At 48.4% G+C, this 24,536-nt stretch overlaps 1 protein-coding gene across 1 annotated transcript in view, besides 3 other annotated features; it reads left to right on the top strand.

Annotated features, from left to right (window-relative positions):
* Positions 1–24,536, top strand: part of ADARB2 (adenosine deaminase RNA specific B2 (inactive)) — a 560,213-nt gene that overhangs the window by 248,579 nt on the left and 287,098 nt on the right. The gene's annotated exons all lie outside the window — the stretch shown is intronic.
* Positions 13,379–13,897: an enhancer, noted in NCBI's record as "H3K4me1 hESC enhancer chr10:1517245-1517763 (GRCh37/hg19 assembly coordinates)". NCBI's record gives its function as "activates a minimal SCP1, AML or CMV promoter by ChIP-STARR-seq in primed H9 embryonic stem cells {active_cell/tissue: H9 hESC(primed)}" and the evidence as "EXISTENCE:reporter gene assay evidence [ECO:0000049][PMID:30033119]".
* Positions 13,898–14,417: an enhancer, noted in NCBI's record as "H3K4me1 hESC enhancer chr10:1516725-1517244 (GRCh37/hg19 assembly coordinates)". NCBI's record gives its function as "activates a minimal SCP1, AML or CMV promoter by ChIP-STARR-seq in primed H9 embryonic stem cells {active_cell/tissue: H9 hESC(primed)}" and the evidence as "EXISTENCE:reporter gene assay evidence [ECO:0000049][PMID:30033119]".
* Positions 22,816–23,525: an enhancer, noted in NCBI's record as "H3K4me1 hESC enhancer chr10:1507617-1508326 (GRCh37/hg19 assembly coordinates)". NCBI's record gives its function as "activates a minimal SCP1, AML or CMV promoter by ChIP-STARR-seq in naive H9 embryonic stem cells {active_cell/tissue: H9 hESC(naive)}" and the evidence as "EXISTENCE:reporter gene assay evidence [ECO:0000049][PMID:30033119]".

Genomic DNA, 24,536 nt, shown 5'->3' with positions numbered 1-24,536 from the left:
GAGGGCAAACACTGTATAAGGTCTCCCTGATCAGATCGGAATGTGTTCCCATCTCATCCTGGTTTGCTGACCAAGAAGAAACCATCTCCTTCTAAAACCTGTCAGACGATATCGTCAAGGACCGCAGATATGCGAGCGTTTTCCCCCGAGGAAACACAGATACACGTATGCTGTTAGGGAGCATTGCTCTTCTCAGACTCGCGCAGGCCCAGAATTCACAGAGAAGACATGCATGCAGGGAGATGCAGAATATTCCAGTGTGAGGAGCGGACGTGCATTCGCCAAAAAGAAAAGTCCTCCCTTTCACGTCTCCCCAGTGTTAGGCTATTTCATGGGGTGCAGGGCTCATTGATCATTGATCATTGATCCTGCAGCCTGGCCTATATCCAGCACAGCCCATTCTTTGGTGGGAGAGAGATATCCAAGTTCTCCACCGTCCCACCAGGGCAATTTGGCCACTTGTCTATTTTCACACCAATTCAGTAATGCCCTCCCTGAAGGTCACTCTTTAGGAAAGGCCTTAATTAAGATTTCTGCCTGCAGCAAATTGTAGAAACTGTAATACATCACACCAGCAACCCAGACACAGGTCATTGGCTACTCAGACCTGCTCATGTGATGTGAGCAAATATTACCATTGTCACTTTGCTGTGGGTCATTTTTGGATGTGCTTTAAAAGGCAGTGCCAACTGTAGGATGTTTGTACATCCTTTTTTTTTTTCTTTGCCAAATCTGAGATAATGTCTGTATCTTTTCAAAGAAAATGCTTGCCTCAAAAGTCTACACTAGCTTATAAATTATGAAATAGTCAGATGCTTAAGAGAGATTTTAATACATAAAAAGTAATGGAATGGATTCTTTATATTGAGTGCTTTCTCAAAGCAAACCAAGAAACATGTAGATGACCTTCTTGGAAATTACCACAATTTATGAAAAATTTGAAGCTGATATATTAACTTTTAAATTAGTACAATGGAAAGACTCTAATTCATTGTAAATTCAACAAATTCCCTTTCATCTGTTTGTTTGTTTGTTTGTTTCCTTTTTTCTTCCTCCTCTGTGGAATCATGCCAAGCTCTCCTCACACCCGCGGCACGTGTTTTTAACTCCCAGTAGGTGAAGAGCTACCACCACACTTTTGTTTTTCTGACCACTCTTGGTTCTTCAGAGCTGTCAATCTGTATTTAGTTCACACCAGCCTGAAAACATAAATTGCAAAACAAACATCTTTTTGCACATTTTGTAATACCTAAACTTTTTCCCTAAACCATGTCCGTTCCCAAATGTCTATATTCTTTTCTTCCTGCTTTATTCCAACTACACTTTAGGAATAAGTCAGATATCCCAAGTCATGTTCCATGACCTTTATTTACCCCACCTAACCCTTGGCCCAAAATGAAGTGTGAGGCTATAGCTTCGCCCACAACCCAGGGCCGGGAGCAGGTCAGGGCAGGGCATGGGTGAGCCCACAGGGTCTCCACTCAGCAGCAGGCACCTCCTCTCCTTCCCCTCAAGAGCTATAAAGAAGTCCAGCTCCCAGACCAGCAAGAGCTTATCTTGCCAAATTCTGTTTACGAGAAGTGTGAGTGTGTGTGTGGAGAATGTTTATTTAGTCTTTTTGTTTTCACTTGTTTTCAATAACTTGCAACTGAAGAGCTCAAGTAATTTAAATGTTACTGGGGTTCCCAACCCTAATGCTGCATCAGAATCACCAGATAACTTGACAACCCTTCACCTGAGTCTCACCCAGTCGTAGATGGATTTGGTTTGACTTTCCAGGTTTGCTATCCAAGGCCTTGGCCAAGGGGAGCAGGGCTGAAATCCGGCCTCCCCAGCATCCGGGCTCCCACGGCACCCACGCGTGCAGCTGATGAGCCTCTCTGGTGGGGCCCAGGGCTCCACGACTTTCTAGAGTTCTTGCAGATAATTCTCACACACAATGAGCACTGAGAGCACAGAGGTCTGTGTGGGAGGTCTGAGTGGGAGACTTAGAACAGAGATTCGCGTGTTCTCTCTTCTTTCCTCTTCCAACCCTAAACCAGTTACATGTACTTCATCTATCTCAATTCCAGTGACGTTCACTCCTCTTGCATTTTAAATGTGGGACTCTCTTACACCAGTAAATCGAGATTTCTGGCTCCTCCTGAAATATCTGGCAGTCCTGGATACCTTCCCATGTGGTAGCAATGAGTCATGGTGTCTCTGGTCAGTCCCCACCAACCCTGGTCACCCTCAGTTCTGAGGCTGATGCTGATGGCTGGCCGTCGTTTCTTTTGCACCCCTGCTTTTTCTTGAGGTCTGTATACCCATATTTCTGTCAAAAATAAGAAAATAAAACACAGTCCAAGGAAGACACAGTAGAATATATTTGTATGAAAGCAGCCCTAACTGCTTAATATACAGCCAAAGCAAATCTGTTATAAACCTAGCTTGATTAACTCTGGCCAGACACAGCCAGTCCCTAAAGACCTTGGTGTTTTTAATAGCTCCACCTGAAATGTGCAGACTTTGTGTCTATATTGTTCGACTCTCCAGATGATTTACTTAATTATCCATCTAGAGTTACCTCTGTAGAATATATTAATGATCTGGAATTTAGAGAGAATAATGCAATAATTAAGAATTCTATTTATCATCTCCCAAACAGATAAACCTGGAATAGATGCCATCTAGAAAGCATCTCTGAGATGTGCTTAACAACACACACACACACACACACACACACACACACACACAGGCGTCCACACACATACACATGCACACACACATTTTCATTGTGTTTTTCCTCTAACGAGGTTTACAGTAGAGCTTGAGATAATTGGCCCAACCACAAAACTCAAAGATGAATGAGTAGCCGATGTGGCACCTCTAGGAACTGTGCATCTTCTCCCTTCAATACAACCATACATAGGCCAGAAATACAGCACCTCAGAGCTTCTGCCAGCTGAAATAGATTTTAATTCCCTGCCAAGCCTTCACAAACATTCAATTGCTGGAATCCAATGATGAAGTTAGAAGAGAGAGGGAGAGTCATATATTTTATTTCTCATTGGACGTAACTTGAACACTCCAAGCCAAGGCCAATATTTTGTCCATTACAATCACATTGCAAGTCTGAATTAGAATCGTTTCTGGTTTCAAACACTCAAGGTGGGTGAGACAGAGGAATGAACATGGGGGATCAGGGCTGCCTCATTCTCACCCCAAACAATTCTGCAAAGCCTAAGCCTTCGCCATAGACGGAGCGTTATTATTCCATCCCACCGGGGCACGTGTTGTGACAAGGTGACAGGACAGCAATGAACAAGTTAGTGTTTCAGCCTTGTGGATCAGACCAGGAGAGTCATCAACTATGCTGACGAGACCTGGGACGCTTGGTGGACTCTTCTGCCCCCACCCACTGCAAGTGGGCAGCGGCCAGAGACTGGCGGGTGAGAGTTGTTGATGCAGGCTGCGTGCGGAGCTGCGTGGTGCCTACATATCCCCCCACATGCTGCCATAGGTACATGTCTACATGTCTGCCTGCATCTGCACCTATATCCATGCCTCTTAGGTAGAGATCTATCTATTAGTGCACTTACAAATCTACCTACACATCTGTATATGTACACACATGCTCACAAGTGCACCTACATATCTACCTGCATACCTACATAGGTACCTACCTCCAAGTACACCTACAAATCCACCTACATACCTACATAAATACCTACCTGCACACTTACCTCCAAGTACACCTACAGATCCACCTACATACCTACATAGGTATCTACATGCATAGCTACCTACAAATGCACCTACTAATCCACCTACATACCTACACAGGTATCTACATGCATACCTACCTATAAGTGCACATAGAAATCCACCTACATACCTACATAGGTACCTTCCTGCAAGCGCACCTACAAATCCACCTACATACTTATATATGTACCTGTATACATACCTGAATGCCGACATAGACACATACCTACATGCATACCTACATCTGTACCCATTTCCATACCTACCTGCATAGATACCTGCACACCTACCTACAAGTGCACCTACAAATCCACCTACATAGCCACATATGTACCTACATACATATCTACATAGGTGCCTACATACACACCTGCATGCCAACATAGGTGGATGTCTACATGGGTACCTGCATTTGTACCTACATCCATCCCTCCCTGTATATGTACCTATATGCACGCCTACATACACACCTCCACACCCACAGACACACGCACTTACACATGTGCCTCCTCACCTGCATACATGCATGCACACCTACCTATGCAGAAAGGCAATGAGTGTAGCTGCCATAGCATTTCCCAGAGGTCCCCATCAAATGAATATTCTGGAGAATAAACGCCATGTGGTTGCCCAGGTCTATAAGAGGAATGGCTTAAGCTTCTTCCCATTCCTTACGTTCCACCCAGCATTTTCATGGAGAAGTGACTTGGACAGAACAGACTTGGAGCCACAGGAAGGGACGACAGCGTGGACAGGGCTCTAGCTCTGAGCTTGAGCGGTGGGCGGCAGCCTGGGGTGGCAGCGGCACAGGGACGCTCAGCTGTCCGGCAACTTCTCCTTCTCAGTTTCTCACACGCGAGTGTTTAACGTGAGGGTGCATGATGAACATGCGAGCATTTAAAGAAAATTGTGTGCCCAAGAAATTTTAGCTCTGACTGTTTTTGCACACCACTTTTCAAACCAATTTTCAAGGATTTTTCTCCTTCTCAGCCAAATGAGAGAAATAAAGTCTGCAGAAGAGAGATAGTATTGTCCTGGGAAATATCGAGAGGATTAATGTATCTTGACTGAAGCTAGCAGGAAATTGTGTTTCAGTTGTGCTTATGGGCTTATTGTGAAGACGTCACATCAAGAACAATTCGTTGAACAAGAAGTATAGGGTGTAGAAATAGGAAGGCAAAGTCAATGGGGAGAGACAGATTCAATAGTGGCTTTGATGTGTATCTGCATTGTTAATAAATGAGATGCTGACACTTTCATTCAGGGGAAGAAAAATCCCCTGGCGCATGGCGGAATAAGAAAGGAATTTTTCATTTAAGTTACTTCCGTGTCATATTTGAAACTGGAGGGATAATTCCAGCACTGTTGATTCGTAAATACTTTGAAAGTTGAAATGGTTATGGCAAGCTCAACACTAACTTGACTAAACAACGTCGTATTACAGTCTCTCCTGCAGGTGCTGTCTTTTTAAACCTGTAAATGCTAAATCATTAGTTGCTTCGTCATTTTCAAACACTTTTGTTGGCATCACATAATAATCAAACTGACTTTCTGGGTATTATCAGGTAAAGAGCACCACTGAAAGACCAGAAAAATAATACTCTGGGATAGAAAGGACAAAGAGATTTCTGACTTTTCCACAGAGAGCTGTGTTTCTTCTCAAGGAAAAAAAAATGCTCTTGAAAAGTATTCGCTCTCTAGGGAGCTAAGTATTGTTTTCCGTGAACATCTGCATAGCTAGGACGAAACGACTGTACCATTGTCTTGGAATTACCATCGAACTGTAAAGTTGTCGTTCAGGATTCTGTGACTTCTTACACCGTTAGAACAGTGTGGTTTCAGTAACGGGGTTTCCTAGATCCCAAAAGACCTGGAGCTCACGTGTTCAGAAAAATGACTAACAAAATAACTACTTTGTTTGAAACAGAAACGTGTTGAAATATGCCATTTTGAAATGTACTATTATTCTCAGCTTTTACTTTTAGCATCATTTGAATCTGCAATTTAAATCTTACGGGACTTTTAGAAAAAAAGGGAAACCAAGGAGAAATAAAAATGTTTACCATAGGTTCAAAGCTCTAGTTATAATAATTAGCACAACACAGTGTACAGGAACATTGAACTCAGTTACTAGGATGCTTTTAGTGTAACTAAACAGGAAATGAAATAAAATCATGTCCAGAAACAGGAAAAATAAAAACATAATTTCACTGGAAAGTTAGAACACATACATGGGCAATTTACAAGTTGAGCTACAAATTTAGCATGGGGCTTCCTTGCAGCCCAAGTATAAAGAAAATTTTGACAGCTTCACAGTTTTGTGAACTTGCTATTCATAGGGAACAATGTCTGTCCATGGCCCCCGAGAAACCTAGAACACAGATGGAAGAAGGGTCCTGCACGAGTGTCCACATAAGCAGTCCTGACAAGGGTTGTCATCCTCACTGCATTCCAATGCAGACAACAAGAATATCGTGAGACAGCTTTGCTGGGTATGTGGGTGTTTCATCTTTTTTGTGGTAAAATACACATAATACAAAATTTACCACTTTTTAGTGTACAGTTCCATCATGTTAAGCACCTTCTCAGTGTTGTGCCAACACCTCACCATCCACCCATAGAACCATTTCATCTTCCAAACTGAAACTCTGTCCCCATTAAACACGAACTCCCACTTCTCCTCCTGGTAACCTCTATTTTGCTTTTGGTCTCTACGAATTTGACAACTCTCAGTCCCTCATGCAAGTGGAATCACACAGGATTTGTCCTTTCATGGCCGGCTCATCTCACTTAGCCTAATGCCTCCATTATGCACAAACCAGAATTCCAGTCCATTGTATGGATATCCATTCGTGCACTGATGGACACTTGGGTTGTTTCTACCTTTTGGCTGTTGTGAATAACGCTATTGTGTACATGGGTATTGAATATCCATTCTAGCCCCACTTTCAATTATCTGGGACGTATACCCACAAGTGCAAGTTAGGAATCATGCTTACTTTTCCCAAGGAACCGCCATACTGTTCTTCCCAAGTGGCTGCACCACGTTATATTCACACTGGCAATTTACAAGTTTCAGTTTCTCCACATTCTCACCAATAATTACATTTCCTGTGGTGTGTTTTAGTAATAGCCATCCTCATGGGTATGAAGTGGTCTCTCATGGTTTTGATTTTTATTTCTCTAATAATTTGTCATGTTGAGCATCTTTTCATATGTTTAGTGGCCATGTGTACACTTTCTCTGGATAAATCTCTCTTCAAATCTTTTGCCAGTTTTTAAGTTGGATGGGTTAAGTGTTGTTGACTTGTATTTCTTTTCTATTCTCTTTTTTTTTTTTTTTGAGATGGAGTCTCACTCTGTCGTCCAGGCTGGAGTGCAGTGGCACAATCTCAGCTCACTGCAAACTTCACCTCCTGGGTTCAAGCCATTCTCCTGCCTCAGCCTCCTGAGTAGCTGGGATTACAGGCACCCGCCCCCATACCCAGCTAATTTTTGTATTTTTAGTAGAGATGGGGTTTCACCATGTTGGCCAGGCTGGTCTTGAACTCCTGACCTCGTGATCCGCACACTTCAGCTGGGATGATGCGTGAGCCACTGTGCCCAGCCCATATTTCTTTGTATATTCTGGATATTAATCTCTCATCAAATATATGATTTGCAAATATTTTCTCCCACTCTGTGGGTTTCTATTTCACTCCCTTGATGGTGTCCTTTGAGGAATAAAAGCTTTTAAATGTGAAGTAGAATTTATCTACTTCTTCTTTCATCACCTATGCTTTTGGTGTCATTCCAAGAAATCAGTGCCAAACCCAGTGTCATGAGGCTTTTCCCTGATGAGCTTTTCTACGAGTTCTATAGTTTTAGGTCATATATTTAGGTCTTTGATCAATTTTGAGTTTGTTTTTGCAGCTGGTGTTACTTCACTCTTTTTTACATGTGAATATTCAGTTTTCCCAGCACCACTTGTTGAAAAGACTATCCTTTCTGCATTGACTAGTTGCAGCACCTTTGTCAAAATTCATTTGACTACATATGCAAAGGTTTATTTCTGAGCCCTCTGTTCTCTTTCATTGGTCTGTGTGTGGTATGCTAACACCACTCTGTTTTGATTTGTAGCTTTGTAGTACGTTTTGAAGTCAGGAAGTGAAGTCAGGATTCTCCAACTTTGTTCTCCTTTTCTTAAAGATTATTTTGACCATTCAAGGCCCTTCGAGATTCCATGAATTTTAGGATGGGTTTTTCTATTTCTGAAAAAAAGTCCTTGGGATGTTGATAGAGATTACATTGAATCTGTGGATTACACTGGGTAGTGTTATCCACTTAATAATATTAAGCCTTCCAATCATAAGATGTCTTTCCATTTATTTATGTCTTTTATTTCTTTCAACAATGTTTTGTAGTTTTCAGTATCCAAGGCTTTTACCTTCTTGGTTAAGTTTATCCCTAAGTATTTTATTCTTTTAGATGAGACCATAAATGGAACTTTTTTTTTTTTGAAACAGAGTCTCACTCACTCTTTCACCCAGGTTGGAGTGCAGGGGCACAATCTCAGCTCACTGCAAGCTCCGCCTCCCAGGTTCACACCATTCTCCTACCTCAGCCTCCTGAGTAGCGGGGACTACAGGTGCCAGCCACCACGGCCAGCTAATTTTTTGTATTTTTAGTAGAGATGGGGTTTCACCATGTTAGCCAGGATGGTCTCAATCTCCTGACCTAGTGACCCGCCCGCCTTGGCCTCCCAAAGTGCTGGGATTACAGGCGTGAGCCACCACGCCCGGCCAGAACTTTTTCTTAATTTCCTTTTCAGATTGATCATTGTTTGTACATAGAAATGCAACTAATTTTAAGTGTTGATTTTATATTCTGCAACTTTGTTGAATTCATTTATTAGTTCTAACAATGCTTTTAGTTTTTCTACATATGATATCAGGTCACCTGCAAACAGATAATTTTAATTCTTTTTTTCCAAGTAGGATGCCTTTTACTTCTTTCATCTTGCCTAATTGCTCTGGCCAAAATTTCCAATACTGTATTAAATAAAAGTGGTAAAGTATCTTTCTCTTTGTCCTGTTCTAGAGGAAAAGCTTTCTGTCTTTTACCATTGAGTACAATTTTCGCTGTAGGTTTTTTTTTGTTTTGTATATGGTTTTTATCATATTGAGAGCATTTATTTCTATTTCCAGTTTGTTGAGTTTTTAAAGACAGCTCCTTCCATCTCTTCTGTGTGTCATTTGGGTGCATAATCCAAAATGCAATGGAGTAAAGCACGTCTATGGAGTAAAGCACGTCTATGGAGGGCCCCAAAGAACCTGGCTTAAGCACGGAGTCCTTCGATGTTTTGTCTTGATATTGAGAGAAGCTAAACCTTCTCTTGACAAATGAATGAAGTGTGTGTCCTTCAAATACACTTCCCTGTAAATCATTGTTCTCAGCTTTGATCAACATAAATCAATAGTAAAATGAATCCCTCAAATAACTAAGTAAATTGACCTCCGGCCTGGTGTTATTGGTGGAAACCAGTTACATGTTGGAGCCGCCACCCCTCTTCAGCCTCTCCCCTCCCTATAGGGCTCTGCCCTCCATACGCCCAAATGCCACCCATGGTTTAGGAGGCAGAACCCGACTCTGGATTTCCTGCTTTCCTCAGCAGGCTGTCCTGGGTTCCTCTCAGAAACAGGTTTTCAATCAAAAGCTAGGCTGTGAGATCCTACCTACTCTACTCCAAGCTGCTCTACCAAAACTCCATCTCCCAGCCTCTGCTGTCCGGGCCCTGAAGCCACACAAACCCGCCGTGTGAGGCCGAGGGTCTGAAAGGAATCTGCTATCCCTAACTTGTCATTCACGTGTCATGGGTGATCTGCTACTGCCTGGGCCCCAGCAAACCTGTCACACATCAGGGCTTCTTCCTGCTCCACGTGGCTGCTGCCTTGCCTGGGTTCTGGTCTGTACCCCCGGTCCTCACTCCAAACAGTCCCTCTGAATGGAGTCCCAGCCTTCAGCCTAACTCCTGCCTTAAGAATTGGACTCTGTACTGCAGCTACTAACTGGGATCCTGGTTGACCCAGAGAGGTCACCCTGTAGCTGAGAGGCTGAGATGCGGCCACACATACACAACCTATGCTGCCCCTGCCCAAGACAGCTGCAGCCCCACTCCCCTCTTGGCTGTTATGCCATAGACTGCTGGCTTACCTTTTGGGAGGGTGCTACCAGCTATTGGATTCGTTGGTGAAGACCCATCTGTTTGCAGGCCCCTCCTCCTCCAAGGGTCCCCATCTTGGTTCTCTCCCACCTGAGGGTTCCCATTTTGGCACTCTCCCATCTGAGGGTCCTTATTTTGGCACTCCTGTCGGAGGGTCCTTATTTTGGTGCTCTCCCGTCCGAAGGTCCTTATTTTGGTGCTCTCCCGTCCAAGGGTCCTTATTTTGGCGCTCTCCCATCCGAGGGTCCTTGTTTTGGCGCTCTCCCGTCCGAGGGTCCTTGTTTTGGCGCTCTCCCGTCCGAGGGTCCTTGTTTTGGTGCTCTCCCGTCCGAGGGTCCTTGTTTTGGTGCTCTCCCGTCCGAGGGTCCTTGTTTTGGCGCACTCCCATCTGAGGGTCCTTGTTTTGGTGCTCTCCCGTCTGAGGGTCCTTATTTTGACATTCTCCTGATGGTCAGCAGTTAGTGACGGTGCTCATCATCATTTTGAGAAGCTGAACTCTTTCAAACAACAATGTCTGTGTCTAGATTTAGGACATTTTCCCCAACAAATTTAAGAGTTGGACCCAGGGTACTAAGTTACTTAAACGGAGATACTAAGGAAGTGTAGAGCAGATGACAGAGGCATTCTCATGACTCTACTTATATCCAGCCATGGAAACCTCCATGCCGTGTGCCAACGCCAGGTTGAGACACAGAAGACCCACCCCCTCTGATGTCCGTGACGCTGTTCCCAGGGCTTCCATCACATCTGTGCAGCTCAGAGTTTTACTGAGACATGAAAGAGAATAACATCACGCCTGAATGCTATGTACTTCCTAAGACACTGCACACTGTTCTAGGACTAGAAAGGCCCAGCAGAGCTCCCATGACTGGAGTCTCTGCCTGTTAGGGCAGCACTGGCGTCTCCTTTGGCTTTGCAGGCCCAGATCCTCACTCACAGCTCAGTAAAGGCTCGGGGAGGTTTGCTGCAGTCGGGTTTTTCACAGGGAGAGAACCCAAGCACAGGCACACAGTGGGACAGTTTACCTGGGCATCACAGGATCCCACATGGACCCTCTTAGTCCTCCAGCAGAGGGGCTCTTCCCTGGGATGCATGTCAGGGCAGGAGGGAACCTCCCAGTGCACCTGTGAGAAGCGTTCTGGGGAGGCACCTGCCCGCCACAGGATTGTTAAAGACATGTGTGGCCCACAGAAGTCCCAAGTTAGATTTAAACATAGCATGAAATAACACGTGGCTGTGGTCTCTATTTATGTCTAAGGGAAATAGTCACGAAGGCATTCTCTGAAAATTAAGCACCCCGCCTATCGTCTGGAAAGAGGCGCACAGGCTGACGCTTCATGTTGGTCCCCATATTTTTATCTATGTATGGATGGCTTTTCATTGCTTCTGGCACATCACCGTGTTGTTGTGGGTGCAATGGCTGGGGCTGGTGTCACGGGTGGTAAAAGAATTTACCAAGACAGTCGTGGGTAAAGAAGGCAGATTTATTAGAGAAAGCACGAAGATACGTTGCAAGAAAGCAATGGGCAGCACAGCAGAAAAGGGGCCGTCTGCAAAGAAGCAGGGCTGGAAGGAAGCTGTATAGGGTCATGCTGGAGGGGGCCATGGGCAGATAAGGTCATGCTGCTGGGGCTACTTGTGGAGTGAGGTATTTGGGAACAGCATGTCATGCCAGCAGTTGCCTGTGATTGGCCGTCTCTCAGAACAACTGTTCTCCCCGACCTGTAGCGCCTTCCTCAACGTTACTTACTAATCTTATCAGGACTCCACACTTCTGATCAGTGCAGTCACTTCTCCTGTAAGGAAGTGGTGTTAGCCATGGGTCAGAGGAGAAAGCCAGCGTTTGCAGGATCGGGCAACCCAAGTTTCACAGCCATGAGTGAGAGGCAGTGCTGCGCAGTGGGAGGGTGCCCTTGCGTGGCTGTGAAGGTGCTCTAGGGGTTGGATCGTAGGCCAGGTGGGGATCTGGGGAGAGTCATCATGATTTGCCACAAGGTCAGCATCCGGAACCCGTGGGCAGCCCAGCACTTGTGTCTCTGATTGTTAAGAAAGGAAGTCCCTGTGGGCCAGGAGTGTTCCCGAGCATGTGAATATCATGCGGCCACCCTCACTTGTGGCACCCAGGCTGGGTTCAGAAATTAGAGTTCCCTCCACACCCCAGAGGGCCGTGGCACCTGCAACCTCCTGGCCCTTTCCATCCAGCTGGCCTCGGGTGACTTGGATGCACGGGGACGCCTCTGCCTCCCTGGATGCATGGCGGTGCCTGGCACTTGGCAAATCCACCGTGCAAATCAGAGTTCGTGAGGCCGATGGCCTTTCTGATCTGGTTGCCATGGAAACGGCGGTCAGATGGAAGAGGATAAGGTAGGGAAGTTATAAAAAGAAGGCTGTCTTTAAAACCTCACCTCAGCTCCCCCGTCCTGTGTGCGTTTCCATGGAAGCAGAGCAATAACCACCTGGCAGATGCGTTCAGGCCTCAGCTTCTGGGCTGTCAATCAGGCAGCCCAGGCGTCTTCAGGAGCCTGGAATTTATCCCCCAAGAACTGGACTTTTACGAGCACAGTCACCACGCAGGACACTGAAAGCAACCACCTGAGCCCCAGGTGTGGCCTTCTTCCCACTCAGCCCAGCTCTGCCCTGCAGGGCCTGGGGCTTCTCCCTGCCAAGGGCCCTTGCCAGAGACCTGCAGTTGGGCACCCTGGGCTGGACCTCGACCTCCACACTGGCCCCCACCTGAGGCAGGCCCCCCTGGCTCCACTCCAGGCTCCTTCCTGCAGCCCTCATCTCTCCCTTTCTCTCTCTGCCTCTCTCTCCCTCCCACTCTCTTTTTCTGTCTCTCTCTCTTCCTTTTTTCTCTCCTTCTCCTTCTCTCACCCCTTCAAAGGATGTTTTACTTCTGCAGAGCTTTCTCTTTAATCACTAGTGACAATTTCCCACCTTCAAAATGCATTTCTTTTGTTAAAAATGCAAAGAGTTTTCACTGTTTTCAAAGCAGCTGAGAATTTTCTCACAGTAACACTTAACTGTCTCCAAGACAAAAGACTGCCATCTAGACTCGGTGAAACAAAAATGTTCGTGTTTTGTAGTGAAGAAACCATCCTCTGTGGCCTAGAAAATTCACACAATTACCTCCAGTTGTGGGGGCATTTCCCTCCTCATTGCCGGTGGCCTTTGCATCCTGAGATAAGGCTCCATGCAAAGGGTAATTGATTTCCACATTTTCTTTCCATTGGGCAGCCCTATCTCTCTTCAAACTTCAGTTCCATCCAAATTTATGCAAAATATCCATCACACATCAAGCGTTCATAGAATTCTCATAATAAGGTCTGGCTCAAATGGCTGAACTTTAAAAAATATGCCAGAATGTGCCAGGTGAAAAAACAAGGTGTCACATCTTTTGTTTGTCTTCCTGACGTGTGTCTCCTTCTCTTCCAATTTTCAAATTCATCTGGGGCAATCCTGAGGGTATTTCAAGGATTTCCCTGTCCGCACAGCACGACTCTGGAGACTCCAGGCCCCTCCCCTGCTGTCCCCTCCCCACAGAGGAGGCCGCTGGGGCCCGGGATGGGTAATGTGCTGCTCAGGGACAGAAAGCAAGAGAGTGAAGGCCCCTGCCTTCCCGTCACAGCACCTGAAACAGACTCATCACTAAACCAACCAGGAAGCCCAAGGGGAAAAGGTGCGCAGATACACTGTCAAACCCAGCCTGCGGTCAAGTTTCCTTTCTCCACAGTAGTTATTCAAAACCACCTAAGCCCCTAGAGCAGCAGCGGGAGACCTGCCTCTGGCTTCAGTCTGGGAGGAAGAGGCCCCTCCTGCCCCGGGGGGGCTCCTGAGTGCCGGACCCTCCCCGGGGGTCCTCCTGCTGACTGAGCTTGACGACGCCGCGTTGATTTCTCTTCACCTCTTCCTGAGCGCCTGACCTGCTGGCACCCGCTGCTCTGTAGCAGCGGCCCGTGGGGGTCCCCGTGGGCGTGGCACCATTAGACCAGGGTCCCACCCACTGTGCAATAGATTCACAGGCAGCTCTCCCTCCAGGACGACCGGCAGCCGCCGCCTCGGTCACTGAGGCCCCGGGCTCGGTCCAGCCGTGTGGTGCGTGACCCCCCGTGACACGCAGTCCTGCGAGCATCCTTGCCTTTCTGAAGCCGCCTCCTCCCGGAGTCCTGCTCAGCACTCTTACACAGGCGTTTCCATCCCGACTTTGCACACGTAAATCTCATCTCCCCAAGGCTTGGATGCCCCACCCAGTCGACCCACCCGCTGCCTGGGGCTCATCCATTCCCACGCATTCTCTCCCCTGTATCCTGGGTGCAGGTGAACTGGGTCTGCCTCCTGGTGGGCGGACAGTCTCACTCAGCAAATGGAGGCTGAGAGCCTCTCCCAGGTGCTTGGGACACGGAGGTGGCCTGGGTCATGTTTGCGTGTGTGGACACAGCATCGCCTTGCCCGTCCGCTCCGGCTGTGTCACTCAGTTCACAGTCCTGCTTGGGTGCCACCAGCCTCCTGGGATGCATCCCCCTCCTCCTAGCCCGCAGAAGAGGCCTGTGTGTCCATCAGTCTTTCTGAAGACCCACTGACCCCCAATGTAGACCGGGCTGCCCCTGCTCTGAGCTCCGTGTGTCCCAGACATTTCCATCATGGAAGCTCATCCCCAAACTGCAGCTGGTGTCCTCTCACCCTCCCCAGGGCCATGCCGTCCCAGAGGGCCGGGAACGAGTTTTACCCTCGATTTCCCTGGAATTTACACAAGGATGCTGGGAGCTCAGGAGGAAGGAGCAGGGTGTCCATGGAGAAGATGCCTTTTAATTTACAGATGTGACGTGTACTGTGAGATACACGCGAAGGCCATGCAGGAATCAAGCCTGAGACATTCACACAAAGTGGAGAGGATGCCAGCAACCGAAGAGCAGGTGCTCAGTGGGATGGGGGCTCAGCAAGGAAAGGCATGTCTCCTGCACTAGAAACTACCCAGCCCCCTGTCAAGGGCTCCCCCGTGATCCGGGGGCTCAGCAAGGAAAGGCACATCTCCTGCACTAGAAACTACCCGGTCCCCTGCCAAGGGCTCCTCCGTAATCGGCCACGCTTCAGCTCTAGGGTGGAACTTGACACCTGTCCCCACCACAAAGGTTTGTTCTCTTCTTACACTTTCCATCCTGGTGAACACCCCAGAAGCCACCCAAATTGCCCAAAAACCCTTCTCTCCTTATCCCAGATTTCCAGTCCATGAGTCCAATAAATTTCCCTAATGTCTATAGACCTCTATAGACAGCTGTGGCTCTGGGGACAGAGTGACTCTTTAAAATGCAGATCCGAGGCCAGGTGCAGTAGCTCATGCCTGTAATCCCAACACTTTGGGAGGCCAAGGCAGGTGGATAGCTTGAGCCCAGGAATTCAAGAGCAGCCTAGGTAACATGGTGAGACCCCCATCTCTACAAAAAATACCAAAACAATTAGCCAAGGGTGGTGGCACGTCTGTAGTCCCAGCTTCTCAGGAGGCTGAGGCAGGAGAATCCCTTGAGCCCGGGAAGTGAAGGTTTCAGTGAGACATCACACCACTGCACTCCAGCCCGAGCAACAGAGTGAGGCCCTGTCAGGAAAAAAAAACAAAACAAAACAACAACAACAACAACAAAATATATCCAATCATCCCAGCAGCAAATTTGTATCCATTAGGGTCTGTGGCAGGCAACCTCAATTCTTGCCTCCTCAGAAGAAAGAATTCGCCTGAGGGGCATAAGGCAGAAGAAGAGACCGAGGCAAGTTTTAGAGCAGGAGTGAGAGTTTATTTAAAATCTTCAGAGCAGAAATGAGGGGAAGGAAAGTATATTTGGAAGAGGCCCAAGCCTCTTCCAAAGGACGGGTGCGTGGTTTGACCTGTGACTTGGGGTTTTATCCATTGTCATGCTTCCAGGGCCCCACGTTCCTTCCCCCATGATTCTTCGCTTGGAGTGGGCTGTCCACATGTGCACGCCTGAGCCCACTAGCCCAGTTCCTGAGATCCTATCGGGAAGCTGCTGATCACCAGTCCCAAGCATTTCTATCTATTGGGAGATGCTTTTTCCTGGTGCCGGCTGTGACCAACTATTACCGTAGAGAGACAGTGTGACGGCTGCCTGACAGCCACCTGATGGCACCCGACACTCCTGCTGTGTGTGGGAGCCCTCTCCTGCCCTGTTCATGCCTCCTCAAGTCAGTGTGAGGAGCGTGGCCCTGCCCCCACCCTGCAGATCCCCAGGCAGGGCCCTCCCATCGCTAAAATTACTCAATAAATCACTTATTAATACTTAACACAGGCAAAAAGTGATTGCACAGAGCGATCAAGAGGTTGTGCCGGACCGATTTCCTTTTCAGATGTTTCTAGATTGTGAGACCAGGAGGCTGCTGGGCCATGGCCACCATCTTTCTTGAAGGCATGACATTTCTCTCCTCTAACTGGTCCTTCTCCCAGCATACCTCCAAGTCCCCAGCATGGTGAGGAAGACTCTCCTGGCCCGGTGTCCACTTGGGTACACCCCCACGGTCCAGAGCTCGTCACACCTGGCTGAACCCCGAGCCGCATGGCACTCGCCCCTATGGCCCAGACCTCCTCACACCTGGCTGACCCCTGAGCCGCGTGGCCCTCGCCCCTATGGCACAGAGCTCGTCACACCTGGCTGACCCCTGAGCCGCATGGCCCTTGGTCTCTGCTTGGGCAGTTCCTCCTGTGGCCACCCTTGCCCCTCATGCATGGTCAGCTGGAGAAAAGTATTCCCTGGGTGATGCCACAGCCATAGCACCTCCTCCTGAGACCCTACACACGGCCATTGTGCTTAGCATCAACATGAGTTTGCTGTAAAGAAGCAGCAAGACAAGCCCTTCTCGTGTGGGTGCCACGTCCCTCTCATCTCAGCCGTCTCACTGGCACTCAGTAGAGGCTCAATGTGCTTGTTGAACTCTTAGACTTTAGGGTCTCCTCTGAGGGCAAGATGGTATAGTGTGGATTGAATTATAGCATAAATAAACTTGATGTGTAAGTAGTTAAATGACCACAACCAAAAATTAAAGTACTTTTTTGGTCAAATGACGGTACCCAGAGACCGCTGTTCATAGGAAGGGGGATGTGGAGGGTGAGACAAGGTTCTCTCCTTGGTCCTGTGTTATTCAATGTCTAACATGTGTACACGGCCATAAATTCGTGAAGGCACAGGGACCTGGGAAGCACACATAAAGTAGCAAATATCAGAATTAGGATGCAAAAGTATTTCACCAAATTACAATAATATAAGCAACTAAGCAACATAAAGTTTAACAAGAAATTATACAGGCCAGGCATGGTGGCTCATGCCTATAATCCCAGCACTTTGGGAGGCCAAGGCGGGAGGATCACCTGAGGTCAGGAGTTCAAGACCAGCCTGACCAACATGGAGAAACACTGTCTTTACTAAAAATACAAAAAAATTAGCCAGGCATGGTGGCGTATGCCTGTAATCCCAGCCACCCACAAGGCTGAGGCAGGAGAAGCGCTTGAACCTGGGAGGCAGAGGTTGCGGTAAGCCGAGACCTCGCCATTGCACTCCAGCCTGGGCAACAAGAGCGAAACTCCATCTCAAAAAAAAAAAAATTGTACAAAGGTCTGCTCTTAGTTTTACTCCCGGCCCCCCACCAAATAAAACTGAAGAAGGGCAATTAGCTGCCGTCCCATAGTGGACACACGGAGACAGAGTTCTACTTGCTCTGTGGAGCTTCAGAAGGAGAACGGTGGGAAGGTTTTACAAGGAGAATGCTGGTACTAACAGAAGAAAACCTCTCTGGAGTGTTCTGCGGAATGAAATCCTTTGTGGAATCGTGAGTTTCCATTCTTTTGAGGTTGAAAAAACCACCCCTGTGGGATCATTCCAGTAGGTTGCCAGGCTGTTAAGAAATGGGAGGTGTTTTTTGGGTTTGTTTTTGTTTTTTTTAGACGGAGTCTCACTCTGTTGCCCAGGCTGGAGTGCAGTGGCGCCATCTTGGCTCACTGCAAGCTCCGCCTCCCGGGTTCACGCCATTCTCCTGCCTCAGCCTCCCGAATAGCTGAGACTACAGGCACCTGCCACCATGCCCGGCTAATTTTTGTATTTTTAGTAGAGACGGGGTTTCACCGTGTTAGCCAGGATGGTCTCGATCTCCTGACTTTGTGATCCACCCGCCTCAGCCTCCCAAAGTGCTGGGATTAGCCTCCCAAAGTGCTGGGATTATAGGCGTGAGCCACCGCCCCTGGCCAGGAGGTGTTTTTATAGGTTCTCTTTTCTCTGGTTCTTACAGGAAATTGATGCCATAGATTTTTATCTATTTTTACATCTAATGATCATTTACACGTTACACTACATGAGTCATAAAATTTGCTAAAAATTGGTGTTCTTGAGTTAATAAAGACTGAAATTATGCATTTACAGTAAGTTCTGGCTGTGAAAGGGCTCCCAGAATTCCTGCAGTCAGGGGAAGAGCCCTTGTTATTTTGAGTTAGTCATGGTTTTGAGTTGCCAATTTTCATTTTGCTAAGTATAAAGTTCTGTTAATTTGACATTTTCAGCGATTTCGTGGGATGCCATTGTTAGCCCCACAGGGCCTACAGTGCAGAGTGATGTGTATTTGCATCAGCAGCATCTTAGCGAAGGATATGCTGTGCGTGGATATGGAAAGACGTGTGTACTGCAGTTGGACTAGGAGTAGGTGATACACATTTTGATAAAGTACATAAGCACATCATGACCTCGAAGGCACTTGTATTGAAAACTTATTTTTTAATCTGACTGATTTTGCTACAGCTGAGCAGAAATGGGTGTGTAAGTGGCTAGGGGAATCATTTGCCCAGGACCATGGCTAGGAAGGTGTGAGACGGGATGGACGCAGCTGGGAGAGGGTCAGGTCAGATGACCCTGGGAGAGGGTCAGGCTGGATGACCTTGGAAGGTCGCTCCAGGGCCGGGAGTCTCCAGTTCTCTGTTGTTCCCTTGACAAAGTCCAGCCTACCCGGGCTCCCAGGCACGCCGGCCTCATGCCCCCTGGAATGACACTTTGCTTCATCCAAACTGAACTCCCATCATTCCCTAGGAGAGCCCTGTTTATTCTTGTCTCCAAGACCTGATTGTTTTTTCCATCTGGTTGGATTCATTCTATGATTTTGAAATCCACTTCCCCTGTGCAATGCACCTGCCATGGAGCCCTTTTACCATCTCTCTAGCAGTTGTCATCCTTTTGTGGATTTTCATAGCACTTTACAGATTCCTCTCATGTTACCTTTTTCTAGTATCACAGCTCCAGGTGTTACTGGCTCCTCTTAGCCCACAGGTGCCTTGAGGATAAAGCACTGTTTTCTTTTTTGTTCTCTCCTCAGAAGGCACCAGTCATCAATTACGACAACTAACATCAAATCAACCAATTCAATAAACTGATTTCTGGATGGTTGAGACAATTATTCTCCCACCAATCTATTCTAGAGGTTTTCATAATTTGGGACTTCTCAAGAACTTGTGTAAAAGTGTAAAAGTTTGGTATTAAGAATGTGATAATTATCATCAGCTCCAGTGAAATCTGGAGAATCCAACGGTTTTCAATTTTTTTTCACTTTTTCAGTACAAATTCTAAGATCAGAATACTGAAAAAGAAATCCAAATAGGGAAGAGAATAAAGACGGTGGACTTAGAGATGTGACTCCTAAGTATCATCTGCCAGCTTTGTGTTTGCCAATAAAGGGAAGGCCGTGACCTCCCGGAGCCGTGCGCAGACCGCGGTGCTTTGCAGGGGGCACTGGGGAGGTGCTGCTCTGTTAGTTCTGCTGTAGAAACATCCACATTAAACCCAGTCCAACGTTCCCATCTCTAATAGAAACGACTCTTTCAGTGTCTGTGATCAGCACTTTATGCAGAAAGAGAAGAAATGGATGCATCTGGGGGCCGTTTCCAATTCCTAGAGGGCAATCTGAACAGACTGGGTAGCGAGAAAGCGTTGCTGTGTTGGAAAGAACACGTGGTAGCAATCAGGGGACCCCATCAGCCCAGCGGGGCCACTTGGGCAAGACACCCCGACGTTCTAAGCTGCAGTGTTCTCATGTGCAAAATAACAAAAGTGTTGGTGTGGATCCTGCAGGCTTCTTCAAGCTTTCAAATTCAACAATTCAAGAAAGTACAAGCTGTGTCCCACTTGGGCACGGAGGTTTGCCACTCACCATCACCTCCACACCTGTTCCGTGGCAGCTTTGCCATGCACGCCCCGTCGCTTCCGCAGGCGAAAGGGAAAGGTAGCCGGGGGTCTGAGTCAGAAGAAGGAAGGCACCACTTGTCCTTGGACCAGAATGGGTTGGACAGCGCTGCTGCTTGCTGGGGGAGCCCCCAGCCCCGACTGCCAAAACCAGACTTTGGCAGACCTAGAGGCTTCTCCAGCACCAGCCACTGCCTGCCGCCTTCTCTGTTGGAGAGAATTTGGATAGCAGCGCTGGGGGATTCCGATGCCAGAATAACACTGTGACCTGTGAGATAGCCACGAAGCTGCACCACAGCCGGATCTGTGAGTGGGATGAGTTGGACAAAAGCGCATCTTGGGCCACACTAGGTAGCATCTCCCCGTTGACGCCACACTACCAGGGAGCAGGAGTGTTTCCCAAAGAGAGAAGGCCATTCTCATCAGGGACCCGGACTAACAGGCCCAGAGTGTGGAGACTGCTTTCCCAGAGAGCCCCCTTGGCCTCAGGCAGCCAGCAACACCCCACCCTGGGCCTCCCTCCCAAAGAATCCTTCCATGGCCAACCAAGAGGCAACCGGGCTTGGCTGGGTTTTACATTTTCAGGTATTTTTCTTTTTCTTTTTAGTCTCACAAATATTTATATGTTTAAGTAATAATATTATTTTAGGGGAGAAACACAGAAAATAAGGACAGGTTGATCCTGACAATGTCATATAGATGACATATTAAAAACAACATATTGGCTGAGAAGCCCCTATTATAAATAGCTGGCACAGAAGCTCCACGCATTAGCCGGCTAGACTTTTGATTCCACTATAATTATAGGAAGAACGTTTCAATCCCTGCGGTGGGGGAGCATTTAGAATTGTAGCAGAGGTAGTAAATTACGGGTCCTCAATGTCCTCGTCAGACAGACGGCTTTCGTTTCAGGAAGAGGGACACAGCGCTATGTCAGAGCCAGTCTCCCCTGGTGAGCTTAATGTGTTCGACTCAAAAGCACAGGATGGAATAACGGAAGTGGTAGGGGATTTTACAATCCACCAGCATCAACATTTATTTTTATTTTCCCAGAGCAGGGTGTGCCGGCCCTGCCTGGGGAATGCTTACATTATTCACTTTGATTCTGCCTTCCACGCCCCCAGGAGCAAAGTCGACCAGTTAATAGTCCGTGTGTGCTGGTTTTGCTGGGCACAGTGTCAGCGGTGGCTTCAGTCCTCGCTCGACAGCAGGTGCCTTTGGATTTGTCAACTTGCCCAGACCCTGAGTCTCCATCCTGAGCCAGATGTGGCTTCATGCATCAACACAGCCCAGAAATAACGCGGTTGGAGATGCTTTCGGGTTTGCTTTCCAACCTCAGCCTAATCTTGAAGAAACTGAGAAGGAGATGGGGAGGGAGAAGGGTTTCGCATGAAGCCGTGCAGTGGCTTAATTAGCTCTTGAAAACCCAACTGGAATTTTTCTTGGGTTCTGCCAGAGAGATGTTTGCTTTGAAGATGGGGGCTTGAAGAACAGCGATGCCTTTTCTCACAAATGATCTCCCTGAATCTTGTGCATTTCTCCAATTGGTAGAGAAGAGCTAAACCGATGAGCAGTTACAGTATTAAAGATAGAAACAGAGTGACTGCCATGCTCACATAGAAAGCATCGCAATGTTTAGACAGTGGCTATAAACCAAGGAGTCTCTCTCCTGCTTTACGAGAATGGATCAAAGTGTGGCAGGAAAGGGGAGAGAAAGCGAGAGAGAGAGAGAGAGATGCTGTAAATAGACCGGAAACCAGAATACGGAGTCCCCTGCTGAAGGCCGGTCCTTCAGAATGGCGCCCTGAATCCTGTCTCCACCACTCACCACGTTCCTTCCTCTCCATAGAACTCTCCAACCACCCTGAAGTCAACACGCAGGGCTGTGTCTCAGTTTACCTTCCCTGGGTTCCAGTTTACATTAAAGTAGACTCTGTCCCGAAGACCCAGGCGGCTTCTGATAAGCAGTGTCACATCCCATGTCACGGGGAACGTGCTCTGTGGTTCCAGGTGCCACAGTCTTCCATAGAGAAATTCAAACTTGATTTGGGGCTTTCTGGGGATCCAACAACAGAAAAGTCTACTGAATTCCAAGGGTGGGAATTAGTCCCCACGGCAGAGCCTTTGGTCGCAATCAACCACCTCCAGTGTTCCTGAGAGGGGCCCCTCCTCTCTCATAGGGTGAGGCGGGCCTGAATCCACCCTGTGCTGTGTGTCCGCCTAGCCACTAGGTGAGGTTCCCACCCCAGGATTCCCAGAGAAAGAAACGTTTTTCATCCCCCACCATGTGTGCGGCCGTCGCAAGGACCTCCGTGTGCTCAGAGAGCTGCCCACATCCTGGAGATACTTGGATGGGGCCTTGTGAAGACCCTCAGGGAGACCATCTCTCTTTGTGCTACTCAAATTTCCCTAACATGCAAGGGGCCAGGAGGGAGGAGAAGCACCGTCTTTGCCCGGGTTTTCATTCATCAGAAGCCATCAGCAGCCTGTTATCACGAGGAGCCTGAACTTCAGCCGTGGCCAAGGTCCAGGAAACAACAGGGCCAGAGGCCAGGGAAGCCAGAAGATGTGGTGTCCGAGGCCAGCTTCATGTCACCCATGGGCTCTCTGCAGGGAGCTTTGGTGTAAGAACAAGGGCAGAGTTGTGGAGTCAGCAGTGGACTACGGGTTTAACCCGATGGACGGGAGGTCTTGCCTGGGTCGTGTTTAGCTGCTCCCATTGTTGATGGCAACTGAGAGCCTTCGGTTCTTGTCTTCTTAGTTTAAAAGAATTTAAAGAGACACACAGCAGTAGAAAGCAGTTAAGAATTTAAAGAGACACACAGAAGTAGAAAGCAGTTTATTGCAACAGAGAAAGAACCCTCTGCAAACTAAATGCAAAAGCAAAAGTACACTCTGAAAGACGAGTCAGCGCGGCTGATGGAGAGTGAGTCAGCCAGGACCGCCCGAGGGAGGCTCTAGCTCTGGGGGCCCCACACCACTCTTCGGGCGGGGGTGGGAGAGGTGTTGCTGGTACGCACATTCTGGGTGGCCCTCTGGGTGCACATGCAGTAGCTGTCCATGCTTGTCCATACATCACGTGCCTCATTAGCATCTTAAACCTCCACCCAAGTTGCGTTTTTCACTATTCTCATGAGCAAAGGTCAGTCTGAGGACAGGTAAAGTCAAAAGGCACACTCTCTACAGGGGAATTGCCCTGCCAGAGGCAGCTTTGCTTGAGTGAGCTGGTCTACAGGGCGATTCTGGGGCTCACTGTGTCGGCACTGCGGTCGTCACGGTCCCCAAGGACACAGTGACGTCCCCGACCCCCTGGTGCCTCGGAGGGGCAGGCAGCTGCAAGCACTCCTTCGATGTTTTCCAACTAAGAGAAGCCCTGGCTGCTTCCTTCACCTTGGCTGAGGTTTCACTGAGGTATCGTTAACACACAGGAAAATTCAGTCCTTTGGTGCACGGTGCTGGGTTTTGACAAGCACACATGGCTGAAAAGCACCATCAAATGTAAAATAGGTCCACCACCTGGAACCCTCTCGCACCCTCTGTGGCCCATTCCTGTTCCCACCCCAGCCTCTACAGACCATGGCTTCACCTCCCGACCCTGTAACTTTGCCATTTTGAGAAGGACACATAAACGGAGCCGTCCTCAGTCGCCTGAGCCCGTGCCTGTCACCGAGCAGGACGTGTCTTGAGTTTCACTGTCGGCAGCTCCTTCCTGGGCATGGCTGGGTCGTGTTTCATCCCAGGGAGGAGCCGTGTTAACTCCTCCATTCTCCTGATAGGAAAACATGTCACTGTTTCCAGTTCAGGGTGACGATGAACCAAGCCACTGTGGGCAGTCCCGTGTGGGTCTTGGAGGGGGTGTGAGCGTCCTCACCCTGCGGGAGGTGACTGAGGCTGGTGTCACCGGGGCCTCCGCCGAGTGTGTGTCCACCCTCTTCTCCAGTGCACTGCCCGCTGTGACTGCCCCCAGTGCGTGTGTGGGGGAGTGTGTGTCCACCCTCTTCTCCAGCACGCTGCCCGCTGTGACTGCCCCCAGCGCGTGTGTGGGGGAGTGTGTGTCCACCCTCTTCTCCAGTGCACTGCCCGCTGTGACTGCCCCCAGCGCGTGTGTGGGGGAGTGTGTGTCCACCCTCTTCTCCAGCGTGCTGCCCGCTGTGACTGCCCCCAGCGCGTGTGTGGGGGAGTGTGTGTCCACCCTCTTCTCCAGTGCACTGCCCGCTGTGACTGCCCCCAGCGCGTGTGTGGGGGAGTGTGTGTCCACCCTCTTCTCCGGCGCGCTGCCTGCTGTGACTGCCCCCAGCACGTGTGTGGGGGAGTGTGTGTCCACCCTCTTCTCCGGTGCACTGCCCGCTGTGACTGGCCCCCGCGCGTGT

Source organism: Homo sapiens, chromosome 10 (assembly GCF_000001405.40).
Source record: "Homo sapiens chromosome 10, GRCh38.p14 Primary Assembly".
Lineage (NCBI taxonomy): Eukaryota > Metazoa > Chordata > Mammalia > Primates > Hominidae > Homo > Homo sapiens.
The sequence above is the reverse complement of the archived record's forward strand: the minus strand, read 5'-3'. Positions and strand labels throughout refer to the sequence as shown.